The sequence below is a fragment of the Homo sapiens genome, chromosome 18, assembly GCF_000001405.40.
Source record: "Homo sapiens chromosome 18, GRCh38.p14 Primary Assembly".
Classification (NCBI taxonomy): Eukaryota; Metazoa; Chordata; class Mammalia; order Primates; family Hominidae; genus Homo; species Homo sapiens.
Genome location: NC_000018.10, coordinates 37046176 through 37071729, shown reverse-complemented (window position 1 = coordinate 37071729; position 25554 = coordinate 37046176). Strand labels below are relative to the sequence as shown.

Genomic DNA, 25554 nt, shown 5'->3' with positions numbered 1-25554 from the left:
AACATACTCAAAAACACTACAGTGGTTCCTTGGTATCCTCAGGGTATTAGTCCCAGACCTTCTCTCATACCAAAATCCCATGGATTTGCTCAAGTGATGTGTATGTATATATAATCTTTGCACATCCTCTGGTATAATTTATATCATCTCTACATTACTTATAATACTGGTAATACCTACTATAATGTCAATGCTATATAAATATTTGCTATACTATATTTTTTATTTGTAATAGTTTTATTGTTGCATTATTTATTGCCCCCAACTATTTTCAATCCACAGTTGGTTGACTCCAGGGATATGGAGGGCCAACCATATGGGAAATCATATACACTTTACATTAAAAGTAAGTGTCTGGGCCGGGTGCGGTGCCTTATGCCTGTAATCCCAGCACTTTGGAAGGATAAGGTAGGCAGATTGCTTGAGCCCAGGAGCTCAAGACCAGCCTGGGAAAAATGGCAAAACCCTATCTCTACAAACAATGCAAAAACTAGCTGGGCATGGCAGCACGTGCCTGTAGTTCCAGCTACTCAGGAAACTGAGGCAGGAGGATCACCTGAGCCCAGGAGGTCAAGGCTGCAGCAGTGAGCCATGATCGTGCCACTGCACTCCAGCATGGGCAACAGAGTGAGATCCTGTCAAACCAAAAAAAAAAAAAAAAAAAAAAAAAAAGGAAGAAAAAAATCAAAAACAAAAAAGGAAATATCTGAACATAACATACCAATTAAAAGAAACTGGCTGACTCAAATGCTGTGTCTAAGAAACTGAATTCAAAATCACAACATATATAGGGTGAAAGTAAAAGGATGGAAGAACACACATCTTGAAAACCTTAATAAAATGAAAGTAAGAATGGCTATATTAGCATCAGGTAAAGGAGACTTTAGATAAAAAATTTACGAGGTAGGTGGATCACCTGAGGTTAGCAGTTCGAGACCAGCCTGGCCAACATGGTAAAACCCCATCTCTACTAAAAAATACATATATAAAAACTAGCCGGGCATGGTGGTGGGCACCTGTAATCCCAGCTATTCGGGAGGCTGAGGCAGGAGAATTGCTTGAACCCAGGAGACGGAGGTTGCAGTGAGCCAACATGGTGCCACTGCACTCCAACCTCAGCGACAGAGACTCTGTCTCAAAAAAAAAAAAAAAATTACTGGGGACAGAGAAAGACATTACATAGTGAAAAGATGGTCGATCTACCAAGAAGACATAGCAAACTTAATGCATAAGCAGCAAAGAACAGAAGTATAAATATTTAAAACAAATACTAATAGAACTAATAGGAAAAATAGATATATCACAATTGTACTTGGAGATTTCAAAACGCCTCTGTCAATAATTGATAGAAGTAGGTAGAAAATCAGCAAGAATATAGAAGAACTCAACAATACTGTCAAATAATAGGATACAATTTACAGAACACACCACCCAACAGCAGAATACGTATTCTTTTCAAACATCATGGAACATATATCAAGATAGAGCATGCCCTAGGGTCCTTAAACAAACTTCAATAAGTCTGAAAGAATGAAAAACATACAGTGTGTTATGTGTGCACAGTGGTATCAAACTAGAAATCAGAAACAGAAAACAGGAAAATCTTTAAGAACTTGGAAACTAAATATAACACTTCTAAATAACCCATGGGTCAAATAGGAAGTTTCAAAAGATACCCCAAAAACACACTGAATTGGATAAACATGAAAATGCAACATATCAAAATTTGTGGGACATAGCTGAATCAGTGCCGAGAAGGGAATTTAGAGCACTAAATGCTTCCAGTAGAAAAGTGAAAAAGTCTCAAACCAATATGCTTCCACCTTAACAAATTAGGAAAAAAGAAGAGCAAAGTAAATTTAAAGCAAGCAGAAGGAAGAAAATAATAAAGAGCAGAAATCAATGAAATTGAAAACAGAAAAACAATAACAAAAACTAAATGAAACAAAAACCCAGTTATTTGAAAGATAATTAAAATGAACAAACCTGTGGCAAGGCAGATTATCCAATAGATAATTTGAATAGCCTTGTAAGTATTAAGGAAATTAAACTTGGAATTTAAAAAGTCTCAAAAAATAAATTTCCAGGTCCAGATGGCTTCACTGGAGAATTCTACTAAACATTTAAAGAAGAATTAACACCAATTCTACACAATCTCTTCCAGAAAGCAGAAGCAGAGCGAACATCTCCCAACTCATTTTATGAGGCCTGCATTACCTTGATACCGAAACAAGACAAGGACACAGGGGAAAAAAGAAAAAGGAAAACAACAGAACAATATCCCTCATCAAAACTAATGTAAATAGGCCAGATGCAGTGGCTCACGCCTGTAATCCCAGCTACTTGGGAGGCTGAGGCATGAGAATCCCTTGAACCCAGTAGGTGGAGGTTGTAGTGGGCTAAGATCATGCCACTGCACTCCAGCCTGGGTGACAGAGCAAGACTCTGTCTCAAAAAAAAAAAAAAAAACTGATGCAAATATCCTCAACAAAATATTAGTAAATGGAATTCAGTAACATTTTAAAAAATCATACATTATGACCAAGTGGGGTTTATTTCAGGGATGCAAGGCTGGTTTAATATTTAAAAATCTATGTAATTCACCATATTAACAGGGCAAATAAGACAAATCACATGATCATAAAAGATATTTGACAAAATTCATAAAAGGTATTTGACAAAATTCAACACCTATGATAAAACTTTATATAATCCGTAACAGAAAAAAAAGATAAATTGGACTTCATTAAAATTAAAAATTTCTGCTCTATGAAAGATCTCATTAAGCAACTAAAAAGGCAGAGTCAGGAGCAGTGGCTCAAATTCCAGCAGTGGCTGTAATTCCAGCACTTTGGGAGGCTGAGGTGGGATAATTATTTAAGTTCAAGACCAGCCTGGGCAACAGAGTGAGAGCCTGTCTCTACCAAAAGAAAAAAAAATTAAAGATAAAAAAGAAAAGACAAGTTACAGACTGGGAGAAAATATTTGCTATTCACATATCTGACAAAAGACATATATCTAGAAGATATGAAGAACTCTCCAAACAGCAAAACACCCAAATGATCCAATTAGAATATGGGCAATACTGAAGAGAGAATTTACTGAAGAAGATAGGAGGGCAAACGTGCACACACACAAAAAGATGTTCAACATTACTAGCCATTAGTGAAATGCAAATTAAGACTGCGATGAAATGTCACTATACACGTATTAGAAGAGGTAAAATAAAAATTAATGAGAATACCAAATGCCAACAAGGATGTGGAGTAAAGAAACATTATATAATAATAAAACAGCAATTTATCTTTTGAAGCACTGTTCTTAGGAAGAATTGTTAAGGGAAGAACAGCCTACATGTGGATAGGTGTATGAGAATTCATCATTCAACAGGTCATGCTTCATGGCCAGAAAGGGTTGAATTTAGAAGACTCCCATCACTTGTTATATTTTATATTATGGTGGGTAGACATAAATTCGGAATGATGACAGCTAATCTCACTGCTTTACAATCTAATTCCACACCCCGAAATCTCAAGCTTTTACTTAATGCCTAATATTGTCCACAATGATATCAAACAGCAAAGGATTCTGCATAATGGCAAGATCATTTTAAAATGTCTTTGGAACCCAGCAAAAATTACACCAGACTGCTCAGAAATAGATATTCTAAGCTATCAATTTGGAAGACAAGGTAATCTTTGAAGTCTTCCAAAGAATAAAGGGGAATTTACTTAGTAGACATAACTGATATGCATCTCGAGTAAGCCAAGATCCAGAAAAACCTCTGGTTCTACCCATCTGCTATAGTATTACAACAATTTTACACTGTGCTCTCCAAACTACAGACATTGCTAAAAGAACAGGCAGGACTTGGGCAGGCGCGGTAGCTCATGCCTGTAATCTCAACACTTTGGGAGGTCAAGGCGGGTGGATCATGAGATCAGGAGTTCAAGACCAGCCTGGCCAAGACAGTGAAACCCCGTCTCTACTAAAAATACAAAAATTAGCCGGGCATGGTGGCGGGCGCCTGTAATCCCAGCTACTCGGGAGGCTGAGGCAGAGAACTGCTTGAACTCGGGAGGCGGAGGCTGCAGTGAGCTGAGATTGTGCCACTACACTCCAGCCTGGGCAACAGGGCGAGATTTCGTCTCAAAAAAAAAAAAAAAAGAACAGGCAGTACTCACCAATTGTAATCCAGTCGAGACTGGTGAAGCTGCTGCTGTTTTAGAAGAAGCTTTGTCTCCTGCTGGGCCAGCAGATGCTGAAGGCGCTCCTTTTCAATTTCCAGTTCCATTTTCTGAAGCATCAGTTGCTGCTTTCTATCTTCTGAGATCTGCTTTTTCAAAGTTTCAATGGGTTGCAGTGCCCCACCACCATGCACCAGAGATGCCCAAGAAAGCCGACAATAACTGCATGATTCTGGATGTGTCTTAGGATGTTGAGGGGTCATGTTTGTAGGATGGCTGTCATGAACACGATCTGCAGCAAGTCTATGACCACAGCATTGACTAGGAGTAGGCTTAAGATGTGGACATTCCTTCATGTGCAATTCTTCTTGTGGCATTTTCTCTGTTGGGACTGCAGGTTTTCTCCCTGGAGATTCACAATTACATGTTGTGGTCTCTGATGGTATCTTATCTAGATCATCTTTGGGATGATGAAGGGTTACTGGTTTCAAAGAATTATTCCTAAATGCTATAAGGGATTCTGAAGCTGAATCCTGGACTGCAGACTTAGGTCTTTGCTTGGTTTGATAGTAGGTCTGTGGTCTGGCTATGCTCAAGTAGGAACCATCCAGTTCCACAGATGAACACTGGAGAGTGCTTTTTCTACTGGATACCTAGAAAGAACCACAAGATCACCTGTCAAATAAGAACACAACAAAACAAGTTCTTTCGTTTGGTTTTTCAGAAATCAGTGATATATATTTACCAAGCCAAAGCTGTTGTTTTGTCTTAAATATTAAATTATAGCATTCACACAGCTAAACAGACTTGTGCCCCAAAGCTACATCCATTTTCAAACAACCTACCCTTCAGTAAATCTATATAAAGATAAGAAAAATAAGTTGCTGCTACATGTTGCTTAAGCATGATCTTTGGTGATTTCTGGAGTTGCAAATAAAGAGAGTTACATAAAGTCAATTTTGAGAAGAGGTGAAAGCCTTAAACATGAACATCGTAAAATGTTTACTTTTGAATACTGAGCCAAGGAATCCATTCAGTCACTTTAAATACTCTTTGGCCATTACACAGCATGAGACTTGATGTAAAACATTTCACCTTATACTGAATAGAATGTGATTTACTGGTAGAATCTTGATGAGGTTTTATAACTATCTTTACAGAACACAGATAAAACCAACCACTTTCAACAAAATAGGATTCTAATCAAAAGCGTTATTTAAATACAAAAAATACTTAATTTCATCTACAAACATAAGTGATTTTTCAATCTATTCAAGTGATTAGTCTGATAGAACTCGGGCAGAAAGGAAGCAGTTGCAAATTATCTCTGACATGTCAATAGAGTCAGATTTTCCAACATTTTAGCTGTAAGTCTGTTCTGTCAGCGAGAACAAAACTTAATCTGTATCAATGATTCTCAAACTTTAATGTGTAGCAGAATAAACTGAAGGGTGCTTGTCAAACATGAAACTATAGCTTCATCCCCAGAGTTTCCAAATCTTTCTGTCGGAAGCAGAGTCAGAGAATTTGCTCATGTTGCTGATCTGGGACCACACTTTGAAAACTATTGGTCTATATCATGGAACACCTCCATCTGCCTTACTGTTGAGCTTGGCCTGGGAAGGTTGAGTTGTTATACTTAGCTCATCTCTGAACATCGCTGACTTAGTATAACTAAGCAGCTTTTCTTCACAGTGTATTTCAGAAACATGGTGTATCTAGATTCCACGTTGTCCAAACAGAAATATTATAGTTTAATGTAAATGTTGCATGTGTTTCAAATGAGCAACTTGCCCATGAAGGTAGACACTTGTAATTAACAAAATAATGAAAGATATTAATGTGTAAGAAAGAAACTTAATCAAACTAAACTGAAGGAGGTGCATTTCTGAAAATGAATCCAGCTAACGATCAGACTCTTCCAAGGGTAGCCCTTTATAACATAAAAACTTCCCTTCAATTTAGATCTGGAGCACAGCAAAAAAGGGCCTCCAAGTCCAATTACTTAACTAGCAAGATGGGTTGTTTGAAAATGTGTTATTCCTAGCAGCTGTTATTTCTTTTGAGCAGCCAGAGTATAACCTTTAACACAAATCTGAAAGGAACAAATCCACTTGTGGAGAGGCCTTGTTTTCCAAGGCCTATTTACTCTAGATATACAGATTCAGTCTTTAGTGAAAGCTAAAGAGAAGGTAAGAGAAAGAAACTAAGCAGACCTAAACAAGTGAAATATCTGACAGCTTCCACTAACACTTCCTCTTCCCTCAGGCTTTCATTCAAGGCCCACTTATGTTAACACTGTACTTTCTTGCCATTTTCTATTTCTATTCAAACAAATCCAAAAAATCTTCTGTGTATTGAACACTTATATTAACCAAACAAGCAAAAATTCTTAATCTTCTATCCATATCCTCTGAAATAGTCTCACTTTTCACACACAATTATTTGCATGCTATGGGGAAGCTTATTTGCTCAATGCTGCAAGAGAAATATGAGTTTTTCAGTAAACAAATATATTACAACTACTGTATTAGTTTCCTACTGTGGCTATAACAACTTAGCACAAACTTTGTGGCTTAAAATAACACAAATGTATTATCTTACAATTCTGGAAGTCAGAAATTAGAAATCTGTTTCACTGGGCTGAAGTCAAGACGTTGGGAGGGCTAGTTCCTTTGGCTCTGAAGACAGAATCAGCTTCCTTGCCTTTTTTAGCTTCTAGTGGCCACCTGTATTTCTCACTTTTATAGCCCTTCCTCCATCTTCACGGTGTGTCACTCCAACTCCTGCTTCCATCATCATCACACACTGCCTTCTCCTCTGACTCCTTCTGCTCCTTCTTAGAAGGACCGCTTGGATTTGATTGGGCCTACCTGGGTAATACAGTTAATTTCCCCCTCTCGAGAGCCTTAATCACATCTGCAAAGTCTCTTGCATTACAAAGTCCCTTGTGACACATAACGTGACATTCGGGAATTAAGACATGGTCATATTTGGGGGGGGGGGTACTTTCAGTCTACCATGCCTATTTTTAAATAAAAAGTAATTTAAAACAATTGAAATAGCTAGCTACTCCACAGACATAAAACAAATGAATGAGAATAAATGAGATCCCTAGTATAAGGGGAGAAAAATCCCACCAATTTATTTCGCAATAGTTGCAAATGATGGACTGATGGGTAAAAAGTATCAACTAACAGAGATACACAGCAACATCATGTTTCTTATCCTATGATAAAAGAATGAAGGGTATTACAGTGATTAAGATTTTAATTGAATGACTGTAGTAATGCTAAAGGATTTCTATTTAAATGAGAATGAAGAGAAGACTTGCTCTTCTTCAAAGAACACAGGCAATCCTGTACAGCAAACAGATGACAAGCAATAGAATATGAACCAGCGCTAGGCAAAATTTCTAATAAGCTACTTCACAAAAAAATTAATTTATTTTACATCTAAAGGGAATCTCTAGTCTACATTAATCTCTCCTACTCTGAACTTCTATAGTACTTACTGCCAGTACAAACATTTAACATTTATCACCTGCTACTTAGTATGGTAAACTATCTTTTACTAAAAGGTCAGAAATTACTAGATATATATATATATTTCAAATGACAGGTAAGTTTTTAAAAGATCCAGAAACTTAAATATTTTATATTATATATTCATATCCAGGTTTTATAGTCTCATTTTTGTTTCATAACATTATTTACATATGTCCATTTTTAGGTACTGACATATTCTACACTTACTTTAATGGTACTAACTGTGAAATTATCCACAAAATCAAGTATTTGGAATAAATTAAAAAATTTTTTTCAGTTAATGTTTCCTGTTTTTGAGAGGTAGTACAGCTTAATGATTTTAACGAATGCTTTGCCTAGAGAGCAATGCTCTGTCAATTACCTGCTTGGTTACTGTGCATGTGTAATAGGCAGAATTCTAAGATGCTCCCCGTGATTCTCACCCCCTAGTGTACGCAACTTTTATTATCTTCTTTCCTTGAGTGTAGGGAGGACCTGTGAATATGACAGGATATAAATCCTGAGATTATATTACATTTTATGGCAAAACAGACTTCATATGTAACTAAGGTTCCTAATCAGTTGACTTTGAGTTAATAAAAAGGGAGACTATCCTGGGTGTGCTTGATCTAATCAGGTAAGCCCTTTAAAAGAAGGTCTTATCCTGCTCCCTCATCCCCCACCCCACATAAGGTTGGAGATTCTTCTGCTGGCCATGAAGAAATAAATTGCTATGTTGTGGGCGGGCCAATCAAGTGGCAAAAACATCTGGAGCAGAAAGCAGTCTCCAGCCAACAGCTAGTAAGTAAATGGGACATGTATCACATAGATGTAAGAAACTAACTTCTGCCAATGACCATGTGAATTTGGAAGAGGACCTTGAGCTCCAGATAATAATGCAGCCATGTATACATATGTAACAAACCTGCACGTTGTGCACATGTACCCTAGAACTTAAAGTATAAAAAAAAAAAAAAAAGGAATGCAGCCCAGCTGAACTTTAATTGCAGCATTGTTAAGAACCTAGGCAGAGGACCCAACTAAGTTGTGCCCATACTCATGACCCACAGAAACCGTTGTGAGGTAATAAATCTGCATAGCTTTAAATTACCAGGTTAGTGGTAATCTGTTACACGGCACTATAAAACTAATACAGCACATTACTCAAATTGCCTAAGCAATTTGAGGTTGCTCACCAGTAAAACACCAGTTTTACTCAGGTTCCTCACCAGTAAAACAGGGATTAAAAAATGCATCTATTGGCCGGGCGCGGTGGCTCACGCCTGTAATCCCAGCACTTTGGGAGGCCGAGGCAGGCAGATCACGAGGTCAGGAGAACGAGACCATCCTGGTTAACACGGTGAAACCCTGTCTCTACTACAAATATAAAAAATTAGCTGGGCGTGGTGGCAAGCGCCTGCAGTCCCAGCTACTCCGGAGGCTGAGGCAAGAGAATGGCGTGAACCCAGGAGGCGGAGCTTGCAGTGAAACAAGATTGCGCCACTGCACTCCAGCCTGGGCGACTCTAGAGTGAGACTCTGTCTCAAAAAAAAAAAACAAAAACAAAAAACAAAACAAAAAAAACCACATCTATTTCAAAACTGAATGTGGTGGTGAGAAAGATGGGCAGTTATCAAGGGCACCAATTTATAAAATTCCAATTTACAAAAAAGAAAAAAACCCACTCATATTTCTTTCAAGGAGAACATTGTATGTGGTGTGTAGATGAGGTGGGGGAGAAATCCCCAAAGGCCATGTTCAGTTACAACAGGTTATATCTAAACTTCTTCTAAAGTGAATGAGTTCAGTAACTTACCTTTATTTTGCTAAAGTTGAGTTTGCAAGTCAGGCCAGAATTGAATTGCTTAACAGAGAAGTTATTCATTTTTCTCCTTCATACAAAAGATATCACTCTACACTAACATGTTGCACTGCCTTTTAGGGTTCTTGTAAGGATTAAATGAAGTAATACATATAAAGCGCGTGGACCATATCTAACATAAAGTTAGTATTCAAAAGAATGTTTCCCATTATTATTATTAGTATGATTCTTCTCATTGAATTCTGACTCAACAATTTTGAAGGAAAGAGCTATATTTATCACTCTGTATGCACTGCACTAGGGCTTGTACACAGACATTCTCAACAGCATATGGTCTGCTATAAAAGCTTAACAGAAAAATTCAAGATGGGGTATGGGTCACAGTAACTAAAGGAAGAGGAAGACAATAGAAATTGAAAACCCCCTGTAAGAATCTGAATATAAAAAATTAAGCTATTTTATTAGTAGAGTTGAAGACAGATGTTGCCTTTAGGACACAAGGAAGTAACAATGGGCCTGAATGAAATAGATGTATTTTTCTTTCTGGAGCTGCTCCAGGATTTCTATACTTGCAAATATAACTTCTCTTAACTAAGGCTTAAACCAACACGAACTCCCAAATGGCTGCCTCTGACATACGGGTTTAATGTGATTGTCTTCCGAGATATAACAGTAACTTAGAAACCACAATTTTTTTAAAACATTGAGGCGTAATTTACAATAAAACGCAAAGATCTTCAGTGTACAGCTTGATGAATTTTTATATTTGTATCTATCTGTGTAACCATCACCTAGATCAAGTTATAGAACATTTCCATTACCCCAGAAAGTTCCCTTGTGCCCTTTCTAGTCGATAGCACCTCCTCAGACTCCCAGGGATAACTATCATTCTGACCTCTATGACCAGATTCATTTTGCTTATGCTAAACCTCAAATAAATGCAATCATAGAGTATGTCACTCTTTTGTGCCTGGTTTTTCTAGCTCAACATAATTTTTTAGCTTCTTCTATGTTGTGTGTTTCAATAAATAGTGCATCCTTTTTATCACTGCGTAGTATTTTTCTTTCTCTTTTTTTTTGAGACGGAGTCTTGCTCTGTCGCCCAGGCTGGAGTGCAGTGGCACGATCTTGGCTCACTGCAACCTCTGCCTCCTGGGTTCAAGAGGTTCTCCTGCTTCAGCCTCCTGAGTAGCTGGGACTACAGGCACACACCACCATGGCCGGCTAATTTTTCTATTTTAGTAGAGACACGGTTTCACCATGTTGGCCAGGATGGTCTCGATCTCCTGACCTCATGATCCACCTGCCTCGGCCTCCCAAAGTGCTGAGATTACAGGCGTGAGCCACAGCGCTCAGCCCGCTGCATAGTATTTCACTGTATGAATATATCACAATTTATTCATTCTCTTGTTGATGGATATAAAATTGTATCTAGTTAGGGGTTATTATGAATAAAGCATGTATGAATAGTCTTATATTAGGCTGGTGCAAAAGTAATTGCGTTTTTGCCATTAAAAGTAATGATAAAAGTCTTTTTTTTTAGATATATGCATTTATTTATCTTGGCCATAGTGTAGGCATACGTTTAACTTTATTAGGCACTGCCAATCCAATAAGTTTTCCGAAGTGTTTATTTGATTTCATATCCCACAAGTGAAGTGTAAGAGTCCCAGTTGCTCCGCATTCACGTGAACACTTGGTAGTATAAGTGTTTTTATTTTTAGCCATTTTGGTGTGTGTGCAGTGAAATCTCGTTGTGGTCTTATTTTGCATTTCTCTTATATGTCATGATGTTGAACAACTTTTCTTATGCTTTTTGGTCATGTGAATGTCTTCTTTTGTGAAGTGCTTGGTGAAAACAAGACCTTTAAATAATTCAAAATAAGTGTTAAAGAGATGGAAAATAAAAAATGAAGGTCAAGGAACAACTTTGTACAAATTATTTCTCTAAACAGTCACCTTCACTGACCATTGAATGCCCTACATTTTCCAAGAACAGCCTGTCATCACATAGGCTATTTATTATTATTATTATTATTATACTTTAAGTTCTGGGATACATGTGCAGAATGTGCAGGTTTGTTACATAGGTATACATGTGCCATGGTGTTTTGCTGCACCCATCAACCCATCATCTACATTAGGTATTTTTCCTAATGCTATCCCTCCCCTAGCCCCCCATCCCCCAACAGGCCCCAGTGTGTGATGTTCCCCTCCCAGTTATGAGTGAGAACATGTAGTGTTTGGTTTTCTGTTCCTGTGTTAGTTTGCTGAGAATGATGGTTTCCAGCTTCATCCATGTCCCTGCAAAGGACATTAACTCATCCTTTTTTATGGCTGTATAGTATTCCATGGTGTATATGTGCCACATTTTCTTTATCCAATCTATCACTGATGGGCATTTGTGTTGGTTCCAAGTCTTTGCTATTGTGAATAGTGCCACAATAAACATACATATGCATGTGTCTTTATAGCAGAATGATTTATAATCCTTTAGGTATATACCCAGTAATGGGACTGCTGGGTCAAATGGTATTTCTGGTTCTAGATCCTTGAGGAATCGCCACACTGTCTTCCACAATGGTTGAACTAATTTACACTTCCACCAGCAGTGTAAAAGCATTCCTATTTCTCCACATCCTCTCCAGCATCTGTTGTTTCCTCACTTTTTAATGATCGCCATTCTAACTGGTATGAGATGGTATCTCATTGTGGTTTTGATTTGCATTTCTCTAATGACCAGTAATGATGAGCTTTTTTTCTTATGTTTGTTGGTCACATAAATGTCTTCTTTTTAGAAGTGTCTGTTCATACCCTTTGCCCACTTTTTGATGGGGTTGTTTTTTTCATGTAAATTTGTTTAAGTTCCTTGTAGATTCTGGATATTGGCCCTTTGTCAGATGGCTAGATTGCAAAAATTTTCTCCCATTCTGTAGGTTGCACTTAGGCTATTCTTAACTCAGAGCTTACTATGTAGTATGCCAAATGTTTTACATATTCAACGTTAATTCTGTAAGGTAGTTATTATAATTACCATTTTACAGATGGGAAAATGAGGTTCGATGAAGCAATACAACTTTCCCAAGGTCACATCAACATTGCATGTGAGATATGGGAAATATCTCACTCTGTTACTTCTGTTACTCTATACTGTTCCTTCTAAAAAAAAAACCCAACTTCTTTAACGTGAAATATAATAAACAGAGAAATGTTTACAAAACAAATATGAACAGCTCAGTAAATAATCACAAGGCAATACCCATGTAACCACTATCCAAGAAAAAAAAAACACAACTTGCACACAAAAGACCCTCCTGGCCCCACACAGTTAGTACCCTCTACCTCTCCAGTCAAAGGGAATGACTATTCTGACCTTTAGGGGAGTAACTTCTTTGCTTTGAACCTTTTGTGCTTCAACATCCATACTAGAGTTCAGTTTTACTTGTTTATTTATTTATTTATTTTATTAAAATTTTTTTTTAGAGACAGAGTCTTGCTCTGTCACCCAGGCTGGAGTGCAGTGGCATGATCTCGGCTCACTGCAACCTCTGCCTCCTGGGTTCAAGCAATTCTCTTGCCTCAGCCTCCCAAGTAGTTGGGACTACAGGGGCACGCTGCATACCTGGCTAAATTTTTGTATTTTAGTAGAGACAGGGTTTCACCGTGTTGCCCAGGCTGGTCTCAAACTCCTGAGCACAGGCAACCCACCTGCCTTGGCCTCCCAAAGTGCTAGGATTACAGGCATGAGCCACCATGCCCAGCCTACTTGTTTATTTTTTAAGTATAAATGGAATCATATGATATATATTCTTTTGTGTCTGGCTTCTTTCATCTAACATTATATTTGTGAACCTTATCCATGATGTTGCATGTAGCTAGAATTTACTGATTTTTATACCTATCTTGCAGAGGAATGTGGAGTCCTGATAAGTAAGCAACAACGAGGAAGGGGTCTCAGGTGGGGGAAAACAATTGCTCTGAGAGACAGCTAATCACAAACAAGCTGCTGGGTTAACCACATCTCTCTGCACATAACCCAAGCAGCACAACCTCATTCCACATGTAGCCCCTACAGAACAACCCTAGAAAGCTTCCCTACAGTCCCTGACTCTTTGCAGACAGCCCTTCTCTGTCGTGTTGTCTGTTGCACCCCTGCAACATATATCCATACTTTCTCTAATAAATCTGCCTCTCTTTACCTATGACTATCTTGGTAAATTCGTTCACCGCCTGTGATGCTGGCCTCAGCCAAGTGCAACTACGACAAGGTCGGCAAACTTTTTTTTTGTAAAGGGCCATACAATAAATATTTTTGGCTTTGCAGGCCATGAGATCCTTGTCATAGCTGCACAGCTCTGCTTTTGTAGTGCAAAAGCAAGAGAGATAATACATGGACAATGGTTGTATCTGTGTTACAGTAAAACCTTATTTATAGGCAGTGAAATTTAAATTTCATGCAGGCCAGGCGTGGTGGCTCATGCCTGTAATCCCAGCACTTTGGGAGGCCGAGGCAGGTGGATCACGAGGTCAGGAGATCGAGACCATCCTGGCTAACACGGTGAAACCCCGTTTCTACTAAAAATACAAAAAAAAAAAAAATTAGCCAGATGTGGTGGTGTGCACCTGTAGTCCCAGCTACTCAGGAGGCTGAAGCAGGAGAATGGTGTGAACTCGGGAGGCGGAGCTTGCAGTGAGCCGAGATCGCGCCACCGCACTCCAACCTGGGCGACAGAGTGAGACTGTGTCTCAAAAAAAAAAAAAAAAAATTCATGCAATTTTCCAATTTCATGAAATATCCTTTTCCCCCAACCATTTAATGATGGTTCTTTAAATGGAACCATCATTAAATGGCTAAGAAGTAAAAATCATTCTTAGCTCATGAGTTGTACAAAATCATGCAGTGGGCTATATATGACCTGCTGTAGTTTGCCAACTGAACTTGATGATTATACTAAATATTCTTTCAATTGAAGAATCCTATGAATAGGCATTAAATAATTCTATGAATATGCTCAAAACCCAGTAATAAAAGTGAACAATATGACTTGAAATGTACTACATATTTACATTTTTTTCTATGTAATAAAAATGAGCTACATGAATGAACAAATGACATTTAGCAGAAAAGCATGTAGGGGGATATACATAGGCTACAAAAACAAACTGTATTTAGACAGGAAAAAATCTATAGATTACAACAGATAAAAAAGTTAAGTTCACAGTGGTAGCATATTAGGATTTGTCTTATATAGGCTGGGCGTGGTGGCTCATGCCTGTAATCCCAGTACTTTGGGAGGCCAAGGTGGGTGGATCACTTAAGGTAAGGAATTTGAGACCAGCCTGGCCAACATAGTGAAACCCCATCTTAACTGAAAATTAGCCAGGCATGGTGGTGCACTCCTGCAATCCCAGCTACTTGGAAGGCTGAAGCAGGAGAACTGCTTGAACCCAGGAGGCAGAGGTTGCAGTGAGCCGAGATCACACTACTGCACTCCAGCCTGGGTGACAGAGGGAGACTCCATTTCAAAAAAAAGAGAAAAGGATTTGTCTTATACTAAAGATACCACAATTTTTGGCTACTAAAAATAACTTCCATCAAGGGCGACTTCTAACATGGTGTGCTATGGAATCCACAGCATAAAACAAAGATGAGGAGAAAATGAAGGTATCTTTGGTTTACGACAGAATTGAAGCATAATATTTCATAACTTGGGTAGGCACAGGCTAATGACTAGATAAAAGAAACTAATGACAAAAGAACAAGGATTAAAAAAAAAACCTGTGAGAGACTTGGTTTGGATACAATGAAGGATTTTCTAATATTGAAGATAAATAAATTTCTGAGTTAGAAAAATATTTTCTAAATCTTTAAGATAATTTTAAAAATACAATGTTTTAAAGACTGCATAGAAAACAATGCCTATTTATAAATATGTATATGATCTTGTATACATGTATGCACACATACACATGTACATAAGCACATATATGAACACATACCAAAAATCACATACTATTCTTATGATAAGCCAGGATTTTCTCACGTTCTCACATGTCAAAAAACAATTGCAGTATTACTTTGTGAAATCCCATCAACAAGTAAACAGTGATGTTCTATAAGTTTCTGTAAATCATTTTTATAGGCCTGGTCAGTCTCATAAAGAGGTGAACTAAACTGCAGTAATAATTTCTTATAACAGGTTGTTATTAACTTTAGATGTTTAGGATGTGATTACTTCCAATGCATTTATGAGTTGTTCACCACAGGATTACTCAATAGTACCAACAGGTCTTATTGCTATTCATTCTCTAATGATAAATAATAATTTCCTATCCTGATAAGCACCCTATAACAATCCTCATATTCCCACTTACAGCCTTATAAGAATGAATAAATCTCAGTTTTGTAACTTCAAAATTTCCCTCTCTGCTCTTTATTCTATTGAGAAGTCAGTATTTCAAGACCTAAATAAATATTTCTAAACCTAAACTACTGTGTGGGCCAGGTCGTTGTATCTCCCAGAGCATCTGGAGTTAATGTAAAAGAAGGCACAGAATGACATGATGCATTTTTAACACTAGGCATATATGGACCAGTCGTCAAGTTGACAGAAAATATGTGATGCAACAGCTGCACTGTGTGGTTTGCCAAAGTCTCATCCCAAATAAATGTTCATTTTCCCCCATGCAATTAACTCTCCTCTGCTGGCAGATTTTGCTAGAAGATCATCAAGGTAGATTACCTTCTAAGCATATGAACTAAATACTTACAGGTGTTATATCATCAGTTGCAACTTACAAACTTCTGCATTTAGCAAGACATCCAAGCAAATGAATCATCTAATTCATGAATTATTTATAAGAAATTCACAGCATGCTCCTGGCATCATCCATGGCCTTTTCCAGGTCATATGACACCAATTAGAGCTGAATTTTAAATTATTCAATAACTTGAACTCTCTTGTCATTTAACATATAGATATCAATGCAGTAAACAAGTTAGATCTAATGGGCCCAGGAGGTTTAAGCTCCTTCACCACTCAGCAGCCGAAGCTGTAGGCCATCAATGGAAGAGAAAATAACAGAATGGAGCAGTCAAAAACATTTTCTAGGCTCTCATAACTTATTCTAGTTCCCATAGGGATTGCAGCACAATTTAGGAATACTGAATCTGAGAGACATTAAAGTCAATAATTATGGAATTTAAAAGAATATAGGCACACAGAAGGCACACAATAAAGTGTAAATAACAGAATAGAACACTAGTAACACCTACCAAATGTCAGAACAGATGCTAGGATATGTGTACCTCTGGCCTGTCAACATTTTTAACAGTAACTACCAGATTCAGAAAAGGCTAAATCTCATAATCTTTTTAAAAAATAGATTCAGGGGGTTCATGTGCAAATTTGTTATGTGGATGTACTGCATAATGCTGGGTTTTGGCTTCCAGTGAATCCATCACCCAAATAGTGGATGTACTACCCAACAGGCAGCTTTTACAACCCTTTTCCCCACTCTTCCACTCCCATTTTGGAGTCCCCAGTGTCTACTGTTTCCATCGTTATATCCATGTGTACTCATTGTTTGGCTTCCAGTTAAAAGTGAGAACGTGTGGTATTTGACTTTTTGTTTCTGTGTTAATTTGCGTAGGATAATGGCCTCTGGCTGCATCCATTTTCCGGCAAAGGATGTGATTTCATTCTTTTCTATGGCTGCATACTATTTCATGGTGTATCTATACCAACTTTTCTTTGTCTAATCCACCATTGATGGACACTTAGGTTGATTCCACACCTTTGCTATTGTGAATAGTGCTGCAATAAACATATGAGTGCAGGTGTCTTTCCTGATAAAATGATTTTTTTTCCTTTGGGTAGATATCTAGTAGTGAGACTGCTAGGTAAAATGTTGGTTCCAGTTTTACTTCTTTAAGAAATCTCCATACTGTTTTCCATAGGGGATGAACTAATTTACATCCCCACCAACAAGTTGTAACTGTTCCCTTTCCTCTGCATTCCAACCTATATCTGGGTTTTACATTTTTTTACATTTTAATAATAGCCATTTTGACTGATGTAAGATGGTATCTCATTGTGGTTTTGATTTACATTTCTCTGATGACTGGTGATGTTGAGCATTTTTTCATGTTTCTTGGCCACTTACATATCTTCTTTTGTGAAGTGTCTGTTCATGTCGTTTGCCTACTTTTTAATGTTTTTTTTTTTTTCTTGTTGATCTGATTAAGTTCCTTATAGGTTCTGGATACCAGACCTTTGTCAGATGCATACTTTGCAAATTCTGTATTCTATTTGACATGTTCTGGCTCTGTGTACCCAACCAAATCTCATCTTGAATTGTAATCTGAATTGTAATCCTCACGTGTTGGGGGAGGAACCTTGTGGGAGGTGACTGGATCATGGGGGTGGTTACTCCCATGCTGTTCTCGTGATAGTGAGTGAGTTCTCACAAGATCGTGAAGAAGGATATGTTTGCTTTCCCTCCCACCATGATTGTAAGTTTCCGGAGGCCTACCAAGCCATGTGGAACTGTGGGTCAATTAAACCTCTTTCCTTTATAAATTACCCAGTCTTGGGTATTTCTTTATAGCACTGTGAAAATGAACTAATACTATTCTTAAGGCTGTCTTTTTACTCTGTTGATAGTTTCTTTTGCTGTGCAGAAGCTCTTTCATTTAATTATGTCCCATTCATATATTTTTATTTCTGTTGCATTTGTTTTTGAGGTCTTAGTCATAAATTCTTTGCTTAGGCCAATATCCAAGTGTGTTTTTCCTATATTTTCTTCTAGAATTTTTATAGTTTTAAGTATCACATGTAAGTCTTTAGTCCATCTTGAGTGTATTTTTATATATGGTAAAAGATAAGAGTCCAGTTTCTTTCCTCTGCATATGGCTAGCCAATTTTCCCAGCACCATTTATTGAACAGGGTATCCTCTCTCCATTGTGTACCTTTGTTGACTTTGATGAAGATAAGTTGGTTATAGATGTGCTACCTTATTTCTGGATTCTGTTCCATTGGTCTGTGTGTCTATTTTTGTACTAGTATCATGCTATTCTGATTACTATTTCCTTGTAGCATAGTTTCATATCAGGTAATGTGATGCCTCCAGCTTTGTTCTTTTTGCTTAGGACTGCTTTGGCTATTTGCACTCATTTTTGGTTCCATATGAATTTTAGAACTGCTTTTTCTAATTCTATGAAAATGATGTTGGTAACTTGATAGGGTTTGCACTGAATCTATAAATCGATTTGGGCAGTATGGTCATTTTAATGATATTGATTCTTCCCATTAATGAGCATGGGATGCTTTTCCACCTGTTTTTGTCATCTCTGTTACATTTCAGCATTGTTTTTTAGTTCGTGTAGAGATCTCACTTCCTTGGTTAGCTGTATTCCTAGGTATTTCATTTTTGTGTGTGTGGCTATTGTAAATGGCATTGAGTTCTTGATTTGGTTCTCTGCTTGAACGTTATTGGTGTATAGAAATGCTATTGGTTTTTTGAATGCCGATTCTGTATTCTGAAACCTTAGTGAATTTGTTTATTGATTCTAGAAGCCTTTTGGAGAAATCTTTAGGGTTTTTTTTTTAGATATAGGATTATGTCGTCAGTGAACAGAGATAATTTGACGTCCTCTTTTTCTGTTTGGATGTCTTTTATTTCTTTATCTTGTCTGATTGCTCTGGCTAGACTTCCAGTACTACGTTGAACAGGAATGGTGAGGTGAACATACTTGTCTTGTTCCAGTTATTAGGGGTAATGCTTTTAACTTTTCTCCATTTGGTAAGATGTTTGCGGTGTATTTGTCGTAAGTTCCTCTTTTTATTTTGAGGTATATTCTTTAACACCTAGTTTGTTGAGGGTTTTTATCATGAAGAGATGTTGGATTTTATTGAAAGCTTTTTCTGCATCTATTGAGGTGATCATATGGTTTTTAATTCTGTTTATGGAGTGAATCACATTTATTCATTTGCATATGTTGAACCATTGTTGCATCTCAGGAATAAAATCCACTTGATTGTGATAAATTATCCTTTTGATGTGTTGCTGGGTTTGGTTTTCTCATATTTTATTAAGAAAATCTCTACCTATGTTAATCAGGGATACTGGCCTGTAGTTTTTTTTTTTTTGAGACGTAGTCTTGCTGTGTCACCTAGGCCAAAGTGCAGTGGCGTGATCTTGGCTCACTGCAACCTCCACCTCCTAGTTTCAAGTGATTCTCCTGCCTCAGCCTCCCAAATAGCTGGGATTAGAGGCACCCAGCACCACGCCTGGCTAATTTTTGTATTTTTAGTAGAGATGGGGTTTCACCATGTTGGCCAGGCTGGTCTTGAACTCCTGACTTCAGTGATCCGCCTGCCTTGGCCTCCCAAAGTGCTGGGATTACAGTGGGAGCCACTGCACCCAGCCTGGCCTGTAGTCTTATTTATTGTGTCTTTGCCAGATTTTGGTATCAGGAAGATAATGGTTTTGTAGAATGAGTTGGGGAGGAATTCCTCCTCCTTGATTTTTAAAAATAGTTTCAGTAAGATTCGTACCAGCTCTGCTTTGAACATCTGGTAGAATGTAGCTGTGAACCCATCTAGTACAGGGTTTTCTTTGATAGATTTTTTATTACTGATTCAATTTCATAACTCGTTATTTGGTCTGTTTAGGATTTCAACTTCTTATTGGTTCAATCTTGGGAGGGTGTGGGTTTCCAGGAATTTATCCATTTCCTCTAGGCTTTCTAGTTTGTATGTATAGAGATGTTCATAGTAGTCTCTGAGGATCATATGTATTTCTGTGGTATCAGCTGTAACGTCACCTTTGTGATTTCTGAGTGTGCTTATTTGAATCTTCTTTTTTTTCCTTATTAATCTAGCAAGTGGTCTATCAATTTTGTTTATCCTTTCAGAGTCAACTGTTTCACCGACCCTTTTTATATGTTTTTTTTTTTGCTCTCAATTTCATTTAGTTCTGCTCTAATCTGTTATTTCTTTTAAACCTTATGTTATTTAACCATTACTACATTTCGTGAAAGTTGAAATTTTTTGAGTTGCTATAAAAATGACGAGACATCATGGAACAATTGACAGAATACTCAATGTAGGGTCAAAAGACCTTGATTATAATTCTAATACTATTAGTTAGGAGTTCTGTTGTTTTAGGTAAGTCCCTTTACCTCTCTTAAGCATGTTTAGTCATTTGTAAAAGAGAGGGTTGGGTTTGATTATCTCTATGGTTTATGCTACGTTTAAGAGCTGAAAAACACCAGGATTAAGTTGCTGTACATCAAGGAAATGAAAGAAAAGAAAAAGGCTAGATGAGAAATCATACCAATCAGTAAACATTCAGCTATCAATGAACAGACTTAGAGCAAATTACTGAATATGTCTTGGTTCTATTTCCTCTAACTCTGTTACTGCCTTATGTGATTCACATGCTGAATAACTTAAATCAGCATCACAATTTATATATCTGGTCATTCAACCTGAAAGAGACACAACTGAAAGTTGAAGAAGACAAACGTCTAATTGTGAGGATATTTATTTTTGATAAATATTTTGATGGGATTTAAAAGGGACAGCCATTTACCACAGAAATATGTAACAATGGTACTGATTCAAATCATTTTCACATATATAAATGTAGTTGCCAAAAGAAAAAAAGCAGTCTTATACATGGTTTTCTAAATGTATATGAGAAAGAAAAGCATAATGCTAGTTTGAATTATTTAATGCAGATCAGAAAAAGGTGAAATAATTTTAAAGAGAAAATGAGACAGGCAAAGACAAGGGAACCCCATGGAAGAAGTGGTGAGAACAGTCTTCAGAGGTATAAAATAAAAACAAAACATAAAGGAGAATAAAGCCAACTAATACTAAGATTCATTTAAGGACGCAACATAAAAAAATGATCTATAAGATGTATAGACCTTTTTTCTTTTTCCTTTTTTTTCTTTTTTTGGTGCCACCCTCTTGGTTTGGTTTGTAGAGAGTATCCTGAGGCTACCAAGCAGCACTCCCAGGGACCATTCACTGACCTCTTTTATGTCCTCCAGTAACAATCAGGCTCAGGAATAGAAACCAGAACTTGGTATAGACAGATGTTTCAATGGGTTCTTTTAAATTCATTCAAAGATGAATTTGTGTCATATGAAAGAGAGTTTTAACAAAAAATTCTAATACATTTTCTAGAAAACATAAAATTAACACTATCTGCACAAACCCAGCTGTCCCTGCAGGGGAGATCAGAGTTTATATTGTATTTATGCTATTGGTTAAGGAAAAAGTACGTACACTGTATTTCTGAGACAAACAAGTGAAAATAAACTCTCTGAAAAACAGTATTTAAGAAATACCAAAAAGTATAACCCACACTCTATTTGTAGACAAATAAGACAGACAGAAGACCAAACTGTTATCCAAGATTTCCCAAGGTGAATCACAGCCTTATTACTAAAGATCAGAGTCTTTCTTAAGCCTGTATGTTCATTTCTTCCTTGTGTAGGTGGCTATAGATCAGACCAGGGATATTAAAGAGACTGAGTGAGAAGCATTTCTGAAGGCACAGAGAACTACCAAACCGAAGAGATTTAAGATGGCTGTCCTTGGAGGGTTAGCCTTTCCTTGGGGGTCTCAAGATTGTTTAGAAATCTTAATCTTTTAACTAACATTGTGACAAATCCTGACTTTTAAAAATTTAGAGTATTGTTTATTAGCTAGTTTGGTTTACTGTAAAAAAAACAAGGGAAGATATTTTATTTAGAAATAAAAATAAAATGAGTTTCCTAGTGCTCAAATGCCCTAACTTCTTTTTCTGGTCTTCAAAGTTCTACTCATGATTCAAGGCTGAGTTGGCATCATTTTCCTCCATTGTGGTTTTCCTATGTCCCCAGTTCAGACTAGTTGTGCCTTCCCAGGCACCGCAAGAGCATTTCATTCCTTTATTGTTGAACTTTTTTCATCCTGTTCCATGACAGTTAAGTGTTAGCTGTTTTCACATCTCTAACTTTCCTTGTGATGTTTAAGTATTTATTTACAGTTCTCTTAAACTGTGAACTCTTTGAGGGCACAGACCATGTATGTTTTATTCATTGCGTTATCCCCAGTAAGAGACAGCAGTGCACAATGCACAATAAATAATGGTTTTTGCATAGATTTTGGCACCTCTCCAATATACTGTATGGAACTTGGGGATAAAGAAAATGTTACTTTCAACCTCATATTTCAATAACACCATTCTTTACAATTAAAAGACACTTAAATTAGTGAATATTTATTGAAAGAACCAACAAGCAGGAAGCAGGAGCAGCAACAGCTAAATGGACTAACTTGTATCCTAAGGAACTTAACAGGTAACTTATCTTAAAATGTATTTAGTGTATTCCAGCAGCCACTCACAGTTTATAATTTCTCAGTCCAAGTGTTTACAGACTGATAAAAAGTTCTATGAACACAAGGAAAATTTCAACTGTCTTAAACAGAGGCCATAAAAATAGGGATCTTTATGGCTTTTTAGTTTAGATCAGTAAAATAGCAAATTACTAGGGCAATTTTTGCTTTTGAAATGAGAATTTAAACGTAAAGCACCATTATTATATTGCCTTCTACAATGTTCCATGAAAAGGGTTTAAAACTAGAGATTGTATTGGATGACTAAAAAATATGTGCTGTATCAACCTAGAGTAAGGATAGGCAAATAGACAGGTTGTAAGACATAATACTTGAATAAAAGGCAACTGCCTCAGGACTCCTACTTTGTTGAGTTGTTAAAAAAAAAAATCAGCCTTAACGTAAGTGACTCTCACATCATAAAGAAGGATAGCACATTTGGAGACATACAGCATTACATTCAGAAGAGAGATTTATGGAAATCTGGGACAAGCAGGGCTTTAGAAAATGTAAAGTTAATTGCATTTTCCCCTAAATCCTTTTTCAGTTAATGTCGTTATCCAATGTGTGAGAAGACACTACCAAACAAATACAGTCTTACAGCTTATTCAAAAATACTTAAAAATAAATATTTTCCTTCTGTTCGCTTATTTGAGTGCTGCTCTAGTACCAAATGGGAAAAGAAAGGATTAAGATGCTGGACATTTTGGAAGGAATGATTTTTTTTCAAGTTATTAAATGGAAGGTACATAGGAATAGCCAAAAGTTTTGTAGCCAAAGGCCAAATCTTGTATATTTGGCCAGCATTATAAGGGAGTAGTATGCATAACCAAAATATTATGAATAAACACATTTGGTGTCATTATACTCCCTCTTTAAAATTTTATCCAAAAGTATAGGCTGCCACCTTGAGATGAGCGGGCAGGATGGGGATCTGAAAGTATCTGCCGGATACTGTGCTAGGTGCCAGGCTTGGTAAGTCAGAGTCCCAACTCTCACAGCCCTCAAATTTTGGCAAAAGGGGAAAACCATTTTACGTGATAAAGTCTATCAAGAGTGCTATATATAAAGAGCAGCAGCAGGGGAATTAGTTTTGCCTTTAGTGAGGGCAAGGAAGTTGAAAAAGTTTCATAGCAGAGTTGACATTTATGCGAAATTTTGGAAGACAAATTGGAATTAATAATAAAGGTATATGTGAGGGTGTGAGGTGTAGGACATTTCTGGCAGAGTGGAAAATATTAGTTGAAGACAGGGATGATGAAAATAAATATGTAGGGTGAACTCTAGGGAGTCCAGAGCATAGTGAACAGGGCAATGGCAAATAGATGCAGCCAAAATTTTAGGAAGGAGCCAGTATAAAAATGGTGTCAGTGCCATGGAAGAAGTTTCACTTTTAATTCCTTATGCCCATCTAATATAGTAGATGGCCAATGAGCCAAGTGATAGGCAGTGGAAGGAAATGAAATAATAAAGGACAGATTATCTCAGTACCCAAAGGAATCAAAACACGAAGTTTACATGGAGAGATAGTAGAAGACAAAAAGGAAGGCCTACAATAGACCACAAAACTAACAGCCTAAACTGAAATAATTGTATTAAAATTAAAATGTTCCAATCTGCAAGTTATATTGAACAATCTTTGGAGATTCAGGAGACTAGGCAGATGGTAGATACCTAGCCAAGGCACAAAAAGGAACCACACATTCTGTCACCCAGGCTGGAGTGCAGTGGCGCGATTTCGGTTCAAGTGTTTCTCCTGCCTCAGCCTCCCGAGTAGCTGGGACTACAGGCATGTGCCATCACACCCAGCTAATTTTTTGTATTTTTAGTAGAGATGGGGTTTCACTGTGTTGGCCATGCCGGTCTCGAACTACTGACCTCAGGTGATCCACCCGTCTTGGCCTTCCAAAGTGCTGGGATTACCTGTGTGAGCCACCGCGCCCAGCTGGAACTACCTTTTTATGTAAAAATCAGGCACCAACAACCTTTCTAAAATTTGTAGATTAAGTACTCTATAAAATTTCTTCAGGGTCTAGGAGAGCAAAATTCTCAAAATGTTTAGGCACAATCTATTGCGGATAATAATGCAATTTTTGCATACTTCCTGCAAGAATGAATGATAGGAAAAAATATTTTTTAAAATTAGTTTGAAGGCACTGAAGTGTTACCAAGGTGTTGAGAACATGAAAGAGCCAAGATTTCAGATAGAAGGTAAGCAAAAAAAGATGACCTTAACATTAGTCATTGCTTTTCTGTTCAAGACATTTTAAAAGAAATTTAATTTAAAATGTAAAAGAAGTGCTAGTGGAGGAGCCAAGAGGAGCTTTAAGTAGTCTCACAGGGTTGGAAACAACATTTGGATTTCAGGGCTTACCAAGAAAGAGAGAACCTGTTCAAAAACCCAAGGCTTTCACGTTTATTCTTAGATGAAAAGCCATCTAAAAATAAAATAAAAAATAGAAAAGCCCTCATCAAAACTAACATCAAACATTAAATTAATTCAGTCCCTGACTGAGTTAGTCATTTTTCTCAATGATAACAGCCAGACTGTTAACTGAAATATAATTTATGGCTGTTGAAATTATTAACAAAAATTTTTACAAAAGTTTCAGTCCATGAA

The 25554-nt window shown here is 37.2% G+C and overlaps 1 protein-coding gene across 24 annotated transcripts in view; it reads right to left on the bottom strand.

Annotated features, from left to right (window-relative positions):
• The window catches only part of KIAA1328, a 403046-nt gene that overhangs the window by 160443 nt on the left and 217049 nt on the right, over positions 1-25554 (bottom strand). For 22 of the 24 annotated variants that reach the window (NR_136303.3, XM_047437678.1, XM_047437680.1 and 19 more), the window contains one exon: positions 4185-4840. Coding sequence is in view for 21 of the 24 variants with exons in the window: in XM_047437678.1 (XP_047293634.1) it covers positions 4185-4840 (656 nt within the window). In the remaining 3 variants the exon portion in view is untranslated. Of the gene's footprint in view, positions 1-4184; positions 4863-25554 lie in introns of all 24 variants that reach the window. The other 2 variants (NR_136304.2, NR_136305.2) reach the window with 1 other exon arrangement.